This window comes from Homo sapiens, chromosome 1, assembly GCF_000001405.40.
Source record: "Homo sapiens chromosome 1, GRCh38.p14 Primary Assembly".
In the NCBI taxonomy this organism is placed as follows: domain Eukaryota; kingdom Metazoa; phylum Chordata; class Mammalia; order Primates; family Hominidae; genus Homo; species Homo sapiens.
Genome location: NC_000001.11, coordinates 5,515,249 through 5,530,905, shown reverse-complemented (window position 1 = coordinate 5,530,905; position 15,657 = coordinate 5,515,249). Strand labels below are relative to the sequence as shown.

The 15,657-nt window shown below is 48.2% G+C and overlaps 2 annotated features.

Annotated features, from left to right (window-relative positions):
- Positions 2,620-2,822: a silencer, noted in NCBI's record as "fragment chr1:5588144-5588346 (GRCh37/hg19 assembly coordinates)". NCBI's record gives its function as "represses an EF-1alpha promoter that drives an FKBP-Casp9 reporter gene in an ReSE screen in K562 erythroleukemia cells {active_cell/tissue: K562}" and the evidence as "EXISTENCE:reporter gene assay evidence [ECO:0000049][PMID:32094911]".
- Positions 3,429-4,341: an enhancer, noted in NCBI's record as "H3K4me1 hESC enhancer chr1:5586625-5587537 (GRCh37/hg19 assembly coordinates)". NCBI's record gives its function as "activates a minimal SCP1, AML or CMV promoter by ChIP-STARR-seq in naive H9 embryonic stem cells {active_cell/tissue: H9 hESC(naive)}" and the evidence as "EXISTENCE:reporter gene assay evidence [ECO:0000049][PMID:30033119]".

Genomic DNA, 15,657 nt, shown 5'->3' with positions numbered 1-15,657 from the left:
CCCATGACCCAATCACTCCCACCAGGCTCCACCCCCAACATTGGATATTACAGTTGGACATGAGATTTTGTGGGGACACAGATTCAAACCATATAATTCCACTCCTGACCCATTCCAAATCTCATGACCTTCTCACATTGCAAAATACAATAATGCCTTCCCCAAAGTCTTAACTCATTCCAGCATTAACTCAAAAGTCCAAAGTCCAAAATCTCATCTGAGACAAGACTAGTCCCTGCCACCTACGAGCCTGTAAAATAAAAAAAACAAGTTAGTTACTCCCAATATACAATGAGGGGGGTGGGGTACAGACATTGGGTAAATACTCTCATTCCAAAAGGAAGAAATCACATTGGGTAAATACTCTCATTCCAAAAGGAAGAAATCAGCCAAAATAGAGGGACTACAGGCCCCAATCAAGTCCGAAACCCCGCAGGGCAGTCATTAAACCTTAAAGCTCCAAAATAATCTCATTTGACTCAGTGTCTCACATCCAGGCCACATCAATGCAAGGGATGAGCTCCCAAGGCCTTGGGCAGCTTCACCTCTGTGGCTTTGCAGGATTTAGCCACTGCAGCTGCCCTCAAGGGCTAGCGTTGAGTGCCTACAGCTTTTCTAGGTGCATGGTGCAAGCTGTTGGTGGCTCTACCATTCTGGAGTCTGGAGGATGGTAGCTCCCCTTCCCGCAGTTCCACTAGGCTGTGCCCTAGTGGAGACTCTGTGTGGGGCCTCTAACTGTATACTTCCCCTCTGCACTGCCCTAGTAGAGGTTCTCTATGAGGGTTCTACCCCTACAGCAGGCTTCTGTCTGGGCATCCAGGCTTTTCCATACATCTCTGAAATCTTGGTGGAGGTTCCCAAGATTCAACTCTTGCACTCTGTGCAACTGCAGGTTTAACACCATGTCAAAGCTGCCAGGGCCTACAGTTTGCATCCTCTGAAGCAGCAACATGAGCTGTACCTGGGCCCCTTTTAGCCATAGCTGGAGCTGGAGTATCTGGAATTCAGAAAGCAGTGTCCCAAGGCTGCACAGGGTGAGCCATGAAGGTCTCTGAAGTGGCTTCGAGGCCCTTCCCCCATTGTCTTGGCTATCAGCCCTTGTCTTCTTTTTACTTAGGCAAATTTCTGCAGCCTGCTGGAGTTCCTCCTTTGAAAACAAGTTTTTCTTTCCTACCACATGGCCAGGCTGCAAATTTTCCAAACTTTTATGCTTTGCTTCTCTTTTAAAAATATGTTCCAGGGTTAGGTCATTTCTTTGCTCAAGCAAATGAACATAGGCTGTTAGAAGCAGCCAGCATATATCTTGAACTCTTTGCTGCTTAGACATTTCTTTCATCAGATACCCTAAATAGTCACTCTCAAGTTCAAAGTTCTACAGATACCTCGAGCAGGTGCATAATGCAGCCAGGCTCTTTGCTAAAGCATAGCAAAAGTGACCTTTACTCTAGTTCCCAATAAGTTCCTAATTTCCATCTGAGACCTCCTCAGTCTGGACTTCACTTTCCATATCACTATCAGCATTTTGGTCACAATCATTAAATAATTATCTAGAAAATTCCAAATTTTCCCTCATCTTCCTATCTTTTTCTGATCTCTCCACATTCTTCCAACCTCTGTCTGTGTGTCTGTTACCCAGTTCCAAAGCTGCTTCCACATATTTGGGTATCTTTATAGCAATGCCCCATTCCTGGTACCAATTTTCTGTATTAGTCCATTCTCATTCTGCTATAAAGAAATACCTGAGACTGGGTAATTTATAAAGAAGAGAGGTTTAAGTAGATGATGGTTCTACAGGCTACACAGGAAGCATGATGCTAGCATCTGCTCAGCTTCTTGGAAGGCCTCAGGAAACTTACAATCATGGCGGAAGGCTAAAGGGAAGCAGGCTCATCTTACATGACCAGAGGAGGAGCAAGAGAGAGGGACATAGGTGCTACACACTTTTAAACAACCAGATCTCATGAGAACTCTATCACGAGAACAGCACCAAGAGGATGGTGCTAAACCACTCGTGAGACTTCCGCCTCCGTGATCCAGTCGCCTCCCACCTGGCCCCACCTCCAACACTGGAGATTATAATTCGATGTGAGATTTGGTGAGGACACAGATCCAAACCATATCAATCATACTTGACATCCTCTTTCATACCCGTTCTCTCATGCCTTTTCCATGACAACAAATGCCACCTTTCTCCTTAGGCCAGCACCTGGGAGCCACCCCGTCCCTGTTTCTCGGGTACCCCATGGCCTGTCGTTCAGTACACCTGACCAACGCTGCCTCCAAAAAGCAGTGCTGCCTCCTTGTCTACACCATCCTACCTCTCATGTGGATTCTGCACCGACTCCTCCCCGGCCTCCCAGCAGGGGTGTGTTCTGTGCAGGGCTCAGAGCTACCCTCTAAAATATCAATCAGATCACGTCATTCCTCAGCTCAGAAGCCTCCAGTGGTGTCCCATCTCCCTAGGACCAAAAGCCAGATCCTTCTAAGGGCCTGGCAGGCCTGCCATGATGCACTCTGTCTTCTCTTCCCTCCTCTCCTGATGTTTCCTGTGCTCTCGGCTCCAGCCTCAGCTGCTTCCTGACAGCCCTGTGGATGTGCAGGTGTGTTCCCACCTGGCTCTGTGCAGGCCTGGAGTCCACAGCCCAGTCCTCAGTGTTGGGGACAGCTGGAAAGCCACAGTGGGATGGGGTCCTGTCAAGCCCAGCTCTAAGTGGGGTAGAGGGGTGTGGGGTATGGTCTGCGGGCCATTCATCACTTGGGCCTCCTGCCACTGCTGTGGTGCCCGCCGGCTGCCAAGAGCTCTGGTACAGGAGGGAACCTTGATGGATCACCCTGCAGAGTGGCTGCCCTAAGCTCCCCTCCTGTGAATTAGTGCTGGGTGGCACTGGTGCAGCACAGCCGGCTGATGGATAGGACAGCCTGGCACAGCCTGGAATGCAGAGAGCCACTCATTTTCATAGAGGAATTAAAAGGGATTCTGCTTAAGAAATAAATCTTGGACACCGCTCTTGGTGGCTCACTTTTTTGGAGTGCTTCTCCTTAAACTCCTGGGAGAAACCCCTGCCCCCACCTGCCTGTGTGGCTTTCAGAGGGTCTGGCCTGGAAAGGGCTGAGTGTCCGTCTGTCCAGCACTGTCTCTCACTTTATAGGTGGTAAAACTGAGGCTCAGAGAAGGGGCATGATGAGGGCCTCAAGTCTAATCGTCAGCGATGTCAGGACTAGAGCTCCGTCTCCTGACCCACACCAGGCGGCTGCTCCCATGGTTTCTCTCAGGGGCACTGACACATCCCCTTGCCCATGAGCGTTCCTCCTTCAGTGACCTGTCACTGTGCCTTCAGGATTCCCTTCACGAATCCTGTGGGTCAGAACCTAGAGACAGAGGAGTCTTCCTGCACTGCCGTCCTGCCCCTGGGCTCTGAGTGGGGTTCTCAGGATCTAGGAAGACAGGAAGGAGCCACGGAGGGAACGGCGGTGCTGGAGAAGATGGGAGCCGGGGCTCCAGGGTCCCATTGTGGGAGCCAGACCGCATCTGCTCTTTCTCACTACTGTCCCCTGGCACAGAGCCAGGCACGGAATGAGTCCGCCACTTGTTTGTTGAATGAATACATGCAAGCGTGGACGACTGCCTGGAGTAGGTGTGTGACGCACGGTGCTGGAGGGTGAGCGGCCTTAGGCTGGTGACAGCCATCCTTGAGGCTTCTGTCTATTGAATGCTTCCTACAGGCCAGGTCCACTACAGGAACTTTAAATGCCCAGTGGGGAAACCGAGTTATAGGACAGGAATTGTTACCCGCGTGGTACCAATGTGGCCAAAAACTACCTTTGGGACCTGATGGGCCCCTTCCTTTCCCACCGGCTGCCAGGGATCCCTGGAGTCTTCTGTCTTATCAGGGCAGCAGGCTCAGCCCCATCAGCCCTGGGACGCCTGGCAGCATGGGGGGTGTGAAAGTTTCCTTCTAGGATTGGTTGAGTGTGGGAGTGACTCGGGAGTTTAATTTTGTAGAGAAGCACAGAAGGCTTCCTGGGAAGATGTCTTATTGGGTTAAGTTCAGATGTCCCTGGAGGACAGACCTGTCCCCACCCTGGGTGCCCACTCAGGGATGTTCCCTGGTCCCCTCTGAGGGCGGCTCTCTGCAGCGGATGATTCTAAGCGGAAGCTAAAGGCTGGAGCCGTCTGTCCACCGCACCCATGCTCCCTCTCCCAGGAAAGTGCAGGCAGGGCCCGGAGCTCACACATCTCAGAGGAGCAGTGAGATTTTTCGAAGGGAGGTCTCTAATCTCTGTTGGGACATCCCCCGGGGGCATATGGCCCTCCTACTAGCCTCTCTCTCTGCTTTAGTTTCCTTGCCCTGAATTCTTACCCTTTGAAGCAGTGAAGGAGCCTCTGTTGTGGACTCCTCCTGCCTGGGAGGCCCTGGAGGCAGAGGACTGGGCCTGGGATCTTCTTTTCCTGTCTGTCCTTTCGGCCCTGAGGCTCTGAGGCCCCTCAAGAGGCGGCACCGACCACAGATTTCCCAGTGGGAAAACTACAAATGCCTTCAACCGCATCCCCACCGTAAAAATATCTTGGCTGGGTTTCTTGGAGGCGAGCGGATGGTGCCAGGTTGCGTGGAGAACGGCTTCCTGGCTGGTACTCAGATGCGAGAGTCACTTCTGGGTGCAGCCAGGGTGACAATACCCTGCCGGCGTGTCCAGAAAAAGGCACCTTGGCAAGGCCTTTGGTTCTGGCGGCAGCTTGGTGTCTGCAGACGGGAGCCGGAGGGTCCCAGGCAGGGGCCAGCTCTCATTAGCAAGGATTTGTGTCCAACCGTTTCCTACGGGGCAGCTTCCAGACAAGGGGACGCGGTGTTTACAATGCACAGGCCATCTTCAGGGAGAAGAAATTTCATCATTACCATTTCAATTAAAATTGTTCTTTGAAGCGTCAGGTCCTAAGGCACAGCTATGGAATTCCAGAACACCCTAGGGCATGTATTGAAACAATGGGTCCTAACGCGCACACACACGGCTGCCCCTGGGAAACTGCATGCTGGGCAGGTCCGTCTGTCTGTCCTGCAGCCTAGGATGAAGCTAGAGGCAAGGAGGGTTAAGAACAGGTTCCTAAGTGAACGCATTGTCAGGAAAGTGAGGCGGCACCAGCCATGCGGCCGCGCCAAGCTCCCCTGCCCCTTGCGGTTATATTACAACAAGTATTTTTTTCTAATTTAAAGTACTCCATGCTCATGATAGAGAGTTTGGAAAATTCAGAGAAATACAAAGGAATATAAAAATGCAATCAAAATTGGTCCTTGATCCTATCTCAAAAGATGGCTGCAGTTAAGATTTTCTTTTTTTATCTTTTGCATCCTTTTCTATATATATTAAGTCTAAATAGCACAAAATTGGAATAATATTGTATACTTACGATTGGATCTCAATTTTTATTTTAATCTAACACTATTGAAAAATTATTTTTCCTGTATCTTAAAATGCTCTTTGAAAATAGGAGAGTTTTGATGGCTATATAACCCTTTTCTGGGTCTCCCATGGAGTATATATAATTTCCATGACTTGAGCCCCCCTGTGAGTTGTCCTAGGAGGTCACATGGACAGTGATAAGCTGTTTCTCATTCTATCCTGTGTGCGTTTATGGGGCACCTATGAATGCCCCGCTGGGAGCAAGGACTCTGCAGTCTGATGAGCTCAGCCCTATCTGGTGCCCCCTCCCTCCAGCCACCTCCTGAATCTCTGCAGTTGGTCTTCAGGTCACATGGCATCCACTGGAAGCTTCCAGGTGCTTCCTGCCCTACCCTGTTGGGGTGCAGAGAGCGGGCCTTCGAGGGAGAAGGAGCAATGGATTCCACATGCCCAGAGGCTTCTAGGGTTTCGGGGAAATAGGTTTTGGAGGAGGGAGGACAGCACAGTGTGACCCTGGAGTCAGACACTCCTGGGGTCGGCCCCGAGCTGCCCTTCACCACCGTTCTGTATCCTTGGACAACCCTTTGCCCTCCGTCTTCTCATCTGTGCAATGGTTGCTGTGAGGATCCCATGACTTGGCATGGAGCCTGACACTGCGGAGCTGTGGAATCAAGGCTGAATATGGATAAAGCTTTCAGTTTTCCTCTGTGCTTCTCAGTCTCTGGCACTGGGAGCATTTGGGTGGCCGTGTGGGGGTGGAGTGGGGCGTGGGGTAGAAGGTCTTTCTCTGGATGACACAGGCTTGGCTGCTGTGTTGAGATGGTCCTAAAAGGCATGAGTCCACTCCCTCACTCAGCCCACCAATTTCCCAGGGGTTCCTCTTCCTCTGAGACCCAGGAGAGAACAAGCTGAGGGCAAACAGTGACATGGAAATAGCTAGGAACACTCCTGCGACAGATATCAGAGAGCACAAGCCACAGTGGCTTAATAACTGCCATTCATTTTTCTTCTGTAACAAGAGATCTGGAGGTTGGTGGTGGCTGGAGTCTGTTCTGGTGCTCAGTTATTTCAGCACAGCCCTAGGATTGGTCTAGCCTCCACTCAGCCTGTCTTAGCATGATGTTTCCTTGATTTTAGTGTTCTCCTCAGGCTTGTTGCCTTGTGATCCCAAGATAGCTGCCATAGCTCCAGGCAATGCATTTGTGTCCACGGCAGAGACATATTGAATATTCCATTTTTATCAGAAGTTGACTGTCTTGACAGTACCAAGCCATGCTTCCCTCATCTTTTGTGGGGTCCACCTCTCACTCTAGAGAACTCTGAGAAACAGGCACTGTGACACCTTCCTCTGCTCAGGATGCTGTGTAGACTTGGCATGGAGTGCAAACGTCATTCATCTTTGCGGGATACCCCACAGATGAGAAGACGGAGGGTAGAGGGTTGTCCAAGGATACAGAACGGTGGTGAAGGGCAGCTCGGGGCCGACCCCAGGAGTGTCTGACTCGAGAGTCACACTGTACTGTCCTCCCTCCCCCAAAACCTATTTCCCCCGAATCCTAGAAGTCTCTGGACATGTGGAATCCATTTAACCTTCTCCCTTGACGGCCCCCTCTCTGCATCCCAACAGGGCAGGGCAGGACAAGCACCTGGAAGCTTCCAGTGGATGCCGTGTGACCTGAAGACCAACTCCAGAGATTCAGGGGGTGGCTGGAGGGAGGGGGCACCAGATAGGGCTGAGCTCATCAGACTGCAGAGTCCTTGCTCCCAGTGGGGCATTCATAGGTGCTCCATAAATGCACACAGGATGAATGAGAAACAGCTTACCTAGGACAACCCACAGAGGGGCTCAAGTCATGGAAATTATATCAACTCCACGGCTGACCCAGAAAAGGGAATATTATCTAGCCATCAAAACTCTCCTTTTTTTTTTTTTTTTTTTTTGGGACAGAGTCTGGCTCTGTCACCCAGGCTGGAGTATAGTGGTGCGATCTTGGCTCACTGCAACCTCCACCTCCCGGGTTCAAGTGATTTTTCTGCCTCAGCCTCCCGAGTAGCTGGGATTACAGGTGCGCACCACCACACTCAGCTTATTTTTGTACTTTTAGTACAGACAAGGTTTCATCATATTGGCCAGGCTGGTCTTGAACTCCTGACCTCGTGATCCACCCACCTGGGCCTCCCAAAGTGCTGGGATTACAGGCGTGGGCCACTGTATCTGGCAAAATAATTTTTCAATAGTGTTAGATTAAAATAAATATTGAGATCCAATCGTTAAGTATACAATTTGGGAAGCTCTCCTGGCACAGCAGAGAAATGGCAAGGAGCTTTGAGCAGGGCTGGACTTGGGTTCAAATCCTGACTCAGTCACTTTCTAGGCAAGTGACCTTGGAGAAAATGATATTTGTTCCCCTCTGACCCTCCGTTTAGCCATCGTCCATAGGGTGGTAACTCCTGCACTGAAGGGGTGCCACAACAAGGAGGTTGGGCCGTGCTCTCTGTAGAGTGCCTGACTTGCTCTAGGGGCCCCAGACAGCCACAGCTGTTGTTGTCAGTAGCCTTGAACCCTCACAGGCATGGGACTGGAGACGGTGAAGGGGAACAGAGCACAGAATCAAGCTGCCTCTTTCAATTAAGGGATGTGTTAAACGGGTTATGATGGAGGAAATGAGTGCATGATGGAAAATCATCAGTATCAGACCCCAGGGACTCATCTCAGCCTCCAGGGACGGGGGTGGTGTGAACGCACGGAGAACAGTCCTGCACGCTGGCCGTCGTGGAGAGACTGGGAACAAGCGATTAGAGCCGACCAGTTTGCAGCCTAGCTTAGGAGGAAGCACAGAAGCAGATCTAGGTAATTTATGCATCTCTGTGTTACAATCTGTCCTTATGAATATAGATACCCACGAATGTGGATTGTCCTTGATAATTGCTCTCAATGTCATCTTTTTAATGAAAATTAAGTGCTTCAGTAGCACTAAGTAGGAGCTTTGCTGACACATTTAATTGCTGCACGGGGAGTTGATAACCTCATTTAAAAGCAAGGAAAACCTTGGGAGAATTGAATATGGCTCCATTTAAAACCGTGGGTCCCATTAACTTTAAAGACAAAAATATTTTCTGAGTTACTGTTGCCTGATTGTACTTCCCTTTATTTTACCTCAAAGGGAAGTGATGAATTGATTACTACACAATCTGTTTTTTAATCTAGGCTTCCGTATAACGTGTTACCTGGAGCCAGTGTTTCCTGGCTCTCCCGTTTCCCTTGAAGCTGATAAGACTGCGTCCCAGAGAGAAAAGGAAACTGCAGTGTCTGGGTTTCTGTCTATCAAGGTTTCCTTTTGATTGTAGGTTAGACTTGAGGTTTACCTTTGTTCACAAGGTGTACTAAATTTAGCACCACAAGGAATGCATATGAAAAGAAACAGTTGGCTGGGCGCTGTGGCTCACACCTGTAATCCCAGCACTGTGGGAGGCCTAGGTGGGTGGATCTCGAGGTCAGGAGTTCAAGACCAGCCTGACCAACATGGTGAAACTCCGTCTCTACTAAGAATACAAAAAATTAGCCCAGTATGGTGGCAGGCATGTGAAATCCCAGCTACTCGGGAGGCTGAGGCAGGAGAATCACTTGAACCCAGGAGGCAAAGGTTGCAGTGAGCCGAGATCACACCACTGCACTGCAGTCTGGGCTACACAGTGAGATTTTGTCTCAAGAAAAAAAAAAAAGAAAGAAAGAAAGAAAAGAAAGGGTTAATGGTTAACTGATCAGGGGAATAATTAGTCAAGATCATTAGCACACTCTTTGCACCCAAACGATACTATTAATTGGAAGTGATTCTTGTCTGTTTATTGAGATGGGTTTCCTCAGCTCGTCAAGGATAGAGCAACCAGTTAAAAGAAATCTTCTGAAGTAATCAATTGAAAGCCTTTACTATCCTAGAATGTTTTCCTACAGTAAGCCCAAATTAATGAGATTTATTGTATTCAAACTCAGAGGCTTATGTTGGTTTGTTTTTCTCTTTTTCTACCTTAAATCTCCTAAAAAGAAAAGGCTTTGCAAAAAATGATCTCTTGAGAAGTGACTGAAAGAGGAAATGTCACTCACCTGGTGGATAATGTGTGTGGCAATTATTCTGGATAAAAAGCGTGCTGTGTGGCATCTGGGGATAGCAGAGCATCAGGGACTGAATTATTTCCTCTCCAATTTATCTGTTGAAGTTCCAACCTCCAGTACTACAGTGTGTGGTATATTTGGAGATGGGGCCTTTGAAAAGGTGATTAAAGTTAAAACAGGGCATTGAAGGGGTACCCTAATCCAATAGGGTGGGTGTCCTTATAAGAAGAGGAGATTTGGACACAGACACATACAATGGGATGACCATATGAGGACGCAGGGAGGAGACAGTATCTACAAGCCAAAGAGAGAGCCCTCAGGAGGATCCAGCTGATATAGATTGGCTGTGTCCCCACCCAAATCTCATCTTGAATTGTAGCTCCCATAATCCCCATGTATCTTGGGAGGGACCCAGTGGGAGGTAATTGAATCATGGGGATGGGTTTTTCCTATGCTGTTCTCATGATAGTGAATAAGTCTCATGAGATCTGATGGTTTTATAAAGAGCAGTTCCCCTGCACACACTCTCTTGCCTGCCACCACGTAAGACATGCCTTTGCTCCTCCTTCACCTTCTGCCGTGATTGCGAGGCCTCCTTGGTCATGTGGAACTGTGAGTCCATTAAACCTCTTTTTCTTTACAAATTACCCAGTCTCGGGTATGTCTTTTTTAGCAGTGTGAGAACAGACTAATACAGTAAATTGGTACCAGTAGAATGGGATACTGCTATTAAGATACCTGAAAATGTGGAAGTGACTTTGGAACTGGGTAACAGGCAGAGGTTGGAAGAGTTTGGAGGGCTCAGAAGAAGACAGGAAGATGTAGGAAAGTTTGAAGATTCCTAGAGACTTGTTGAGTGGTTTTGACCAAAAAGCCCAGGCTGAAGTGGGCTCAGATGAAGATGAGGAACTTTCTGGGAACTGGAGCAAAGGTGATTCTTGCTATGCTTTAGCAAAGAGACTGGTGGCATTTTGCCCCTGCCCTAGAGACCTTTGGAGCTTTGAACTTGAGAGAGATGATTTAGGGTATCTGGTGGAAGAAATTTCTAAGCTGCAAGCCATTCAAAATGTGACCCTGCTCTTAAGAGCATTCATTTTTATTCATTTACAAAGATATGGTTTGGAATTGTAACGTATGTTTAAAAGGGAGGCATAGCATAAAAGTTCAGAACATTCACAGCCTGACAATGTGATAGAAAAGAAAAACCCATTTTCTGAGGAGAAATTCAAGCCGGCTGCAGAAACTTGCAAAAGTAACGAGGAACCCGATGTAAATCGCGGAACCCAATGTAAATCGCAGCAGAGACACTGGGGAAAATGCCTCCAGGGCATGTTAGAGGTCTTCAAGGCAGCCCCTCCCATCACAAGCTGGGAAGCCTGGGGGAAAAAATGGTTTCGTGGGCCAGCCCAGGGCCTTGCTGCTTTGTGTAGTCTTGGAACGTGGTGCTTTGCATCCCAGTTGTGGCTAAAAGGGGCCAACATACAGCTCAGGCTATTGCTTCAGGGCATGCAAGCCTCAAGCCTTGGCAACTTATACGTGGTGTTGGGCCTACAGGTGCACAGAAGTCAAGAATTGAGTTTTGAGAACCTCTATCCAGATTTCAGAGGAAGTATAGAAATGCCTGGATGTCCAGGCAGAGGTGTGCTGCAGGGGTGGAACCCTCATAGAGAACCTCTGCTAGAGCAGTGCAGAAGGAAAATGCAGGGTCAGAACCCCCACACAGATTTCCCACTGGGCACTGCCTAGTGGAGCTGTGAGAAGAGGGCCACTGTCTTCCAGACCCCACAATGGTAGATCCACTCACAGCTTGCACCGTGCATCTGGAAAAGCTGCAGACACTCAATGCCAGCCCGTGAAAGCAGCCAGGAGGGGGGCTGTACCCTGCAAAGCCACAGGGATGGAGCTGCCCAAGGCCATGGGAGCCCACTTCTTGTATCAGCATGACCTAGATGCGAGACCTGGAGTCAAGGGAGATCATTTTGGAGCTTTAAGATATGACTGACCTACTGGATTTCTGACTTGCATAGGACCTGTAGTCCCTTTGTTTTGGCCAATTTCTCCCATTCATGATGAGTGTATTTACCCAATGCCTGTATCCTCATTGTATCTAGGAAGTAACTAACTTGCTTTTGATTTTACAGGCTCATAGGCAGAAGGGACTTGCCTTGTCTCAGATGAGACTTTAGACTGTGGACTTTTGAGTTAATGCTGAAATGAGTTAAGACTTTGGGGGACTGTTGGGAAGGCATGATTGGTTTTGAAATGTGAGGACATGAGATTTGGGTGGGGCCAGGTGTAGAATGATATGATTTGACTGTGTCCCCACCCAAATCTCATCTTGAATTGTGGCTTCCATAATCCCCATGTGTTGTGGAAGAGACTTGGTGGGAGGTAATTGAATCATGGGGGTGGGTCTTTCCCATGCTGTTCTTGTGATAGTGAATAAGTCTCACAAGATCTGATGGTTTTATAGAGGATAGTTCCCCTGCACATGCTTTCTTGCCTGCCACCATGTAAGATGTGCCTTTGCTCCTAATTTGCCATCTGCCGTGATTGTGAGGCCTCTCCAGCCATGTGGAACTGTGAGTCCATTAAACTTCTTTTTCTTTATAAATTACCCAGTCTCGGGTATTTCTTCATAGGAATATGAGAATGAACTAATACACCAGCCCTGCCCACACTTTAATTTTGGACTTCCAGAGTGTCATGGGGGAAGGATGATTGGTGTGTTTGTGGGCGGGGGGGGGGGGGGCTGTGGGGGGAGGGGCCGGTAAAAGAATTTACCAAGACAATTGTAGGTCAAGGAAGGTAGATTTATTAGAGAAAGTAGGAAAATGCATTGCCAGAGAGACAATGGGCAAGTCAGCAGATGCTGACTGCAAAGAAACAAAGGCTTGCTGGAGATTGTATAGGATAGTGTTCACGCTGTCTGTTGACGAGGGCTTTGCGTGGTACTAATAACACCAAGTTTGCAGTGAGCCAGCTTGCAGGTGTGTCTAGTGATAGTTGGGCGCAGGAAGATTGTGAGTTATTTGTGCAGAAGGGCTACGTGTTCTGGACCATGGAAAGGCAGATGTATGGCTTATCTGCTTTCTCTTTTTGCTTTCCCTTGATTCTGCCTGCATGAGCCTTTTCCCTAATTCATACTCCACACAGAGTTCAGAACTGTAAGAAAACAAACCTCTTTTGTTTAACCTGCCCTGTCTATGATACTTTGCTATGCAGCCCAAGCTGAGGAATACACAGAGGAAACTTTCACAGCCACAGGGAGGGGGTCCTGGGAGAGGAGCCTCTGTGGCTGGGAACCCCCATCTGTCATACGCTAATCTGGAATAATGCAATTGTCAATCCACTTATGTGACATCTGTTTAGTTGATAATTCTTGGGGGTTGGCAGGTGGAGGAAGCAGTCACGAGTGGAAGGGAGGTTGGGGAGTGAGGAGGCACCTTATGAAAGGTGAGGATGAGGATGTGCAGAAAGGGATTCTGACCATGCCCAGAAGAAGAGTGCAGTCCTGGGGTCTTAGCCCCATTTTTCTTGAAAACGTTTTTTTGTGGGTAAATATTATGTTTCTTTATTACAAACCAAAGAAACATAATGACCTACAGTGAACAATAGTTAATTCTGGGTGGTGGATACTGGTGTTTGGCATATAGGTTCTCTATACTTTTCTATATTTATATCTCTTTAAAAAATCTTTTAAAATTTATTGTTACAAATAATTTGTATATTATGGGGTACGCTATGATGTTTTAATCTGTGTGTATGTTGTAGAAAGATTCAATCAAGCTAAATAACATAGTCATCCCTTTCACCAACTTATTTTTTTGTGGTGAGAATGTTAATCTATTCTTTTAGTAATTCTGAAATATGCAGTATGTTATTATTAACCATAGTCACCATGCGGTGCAATAGATCTCTAAAACTTAGTCCTCCAGTCTAACTGAGACTTTGTATCTTATATATATTAGGATACAAAGTGTTTTATTGTAGACAATTTCAAACATAAGCCCTGATGTGCTCATCACCAGCTACAAACATCATCAATGTATGAATGGCCAGCCCTGTTTTCCCTGAACCCCCACCTACTTCTGGCTCCTCCCTGGGATCATTGTGAAATGAATCCTAGGCTTTGTGTCATTTCATCCAACAATATTGGAGCATGTATCTCTAAAGGTGGTGAAGTTCTCTTGAAACAGCTAGGAAATCAGTATCCCAACCCAAATATTTTAACCACAATTCCTTAGTCTGAAGAATTTTAGCCCAAGCTACTGGTGAACTTTCCTCCCCTAGGAACATCGTTTGATTATTACCAAAGGGCAACCTCCTTGAGGGAGGAGAAGACAGCCCTCCCCTTCTCAGCCTCCCCCGCCCCTGCCCGCTGTGCTGAGCCCTTTACAATGCTATGGGTGACAAGGAATCTTTGATGATCCAAAATTGCGTAATGACCGTCCATCATGAACCTGGCTTGTCATGTCACCAGCTTGGCTGTGATCACCTATTTCAGGGCAGGGGCCCTGGTACATTAGCAAAATCTCGTAGAACCTTGTCCCTGATTGGTTCATCTCAGTTGCCACTCCGATGACCTTAACGCGGCATTTTTCACCTGGCAGTGCATTGGAGATGCGTGGAGAGGCTTAAAACCATGACACCCAGCCCCCACCCTGAGACCCTGATGACTGTGGCTTACAGAGGGGGCCTGGCAGCATCTCTTGGGGTGATTCTAATGGGAGCCAGGTGGAGGACGCTGGCTCCTGGCTTTTAACCACTGTGGACCACAGCCTCAGGCTTCTGTATCCATTCATGTGTGTGTGTGTGTGTGTGTGTGTGTGTGTGTGTGTGTGTGTGTGTGTTGTGGGGGAGAGGCGAGGCCGTGTCTAATCCAACTAAGTGAGGAGACATTAAATAATTTTTTATAAACTGTGTTTGTAAAAAGAACATAAATCTAGATCTTTTGAAGAAACAAATGCAGTGCTTTGTTATAAAACAACCACTGTTATATGTAAACAAACAAAATTTAATCCACTAGAGTTTACAAGACCAGTTTACTTTTGCAGAATAACTAACTTTTATACCAAAGATCAGACAAGATAGTGAGCATTTCCCAGCCTCTCATTACTTGTCAAGTACTAAGGCACCTGCAATCACCGTCTTTAATCCCTGCAACAACCCTATGGTGTGGGAGGTTTAATTACCCTCCACTTTACAGGTTGGGGGACTGAGGCCTGGAGAGGTTGCTAAGCTCACACAGCTAGTAAATGGCCCAGCCACGAAACAACTCAGGTGAGAGTAGGGAGGTGGCTTGAGGGGAAAGATGGGCTTTTGTTTTTGAGTAAGTATGCATCCTTTCAGCTGTTCTCTGTCTTACTGAAAGTATAACCCAGTCCCACACAGGTGGTGGGGGTGGGCTTCTGTTTGGTCCAGGAATTTGCCAGAGATTAGATGGGTGTTTACAGACTGGGATAGGGTAGAGAGTTCCTGATAACAGGGAGCAGACAGGTCAATTCAGAGTTTGTAGGAAGGGCACGGTCTTGGTTCAGGAAGAGCATCTATGGACGTGAAGACACAAAGGAACAGAGGCCAGCTTCCAGGGCACAGCCAGCAGACCGAGGCCAGCAACTGGGCTAAAGATAGATGACTGAGAGCCAAAGGATCTAGGGCTCCATGAACACAGGCTGGGGCGTGTAGCCGCTCTTGAGGGTGAGCTGCCATGAGATGCCTGGTGGGCCAGTGGCCACCCCCGAAGGTTCAGGGTGTGCCCTTTGGGCCATCAAAGGGATCAAGTAGAATTGTCATTGAGCCAGTTAGAGGGCCAAGGAGGCTCTGTTGAGACATCCTCTTCAGAGAAAGCAAATTGGTCATGCAAAGCACAGGTGAGCTGATGTAACAAGTGAAGTCCTGTGCTGTGGTCTGAGTATTTGTCCCCCAAAGCTCTTGTTGAAATTTGATCTCCACTGTTGGAGGCGAGGCCCGGTGGGAGGTGTTTGGGTCATGGGAGCGGGTCCCTCATGAAGGTTTTGGTGTTGTCCTCAAGGTAATGAGTGAGTTCTCCCTCTACTAGTTCCCATGAGAGCCGGTTGTAAGAAAGAGCGGGCAAACTTCCCCTGTCTCTCTTGTGTCTTCTCTCCCCTTGTGGCCTCTGCACACCT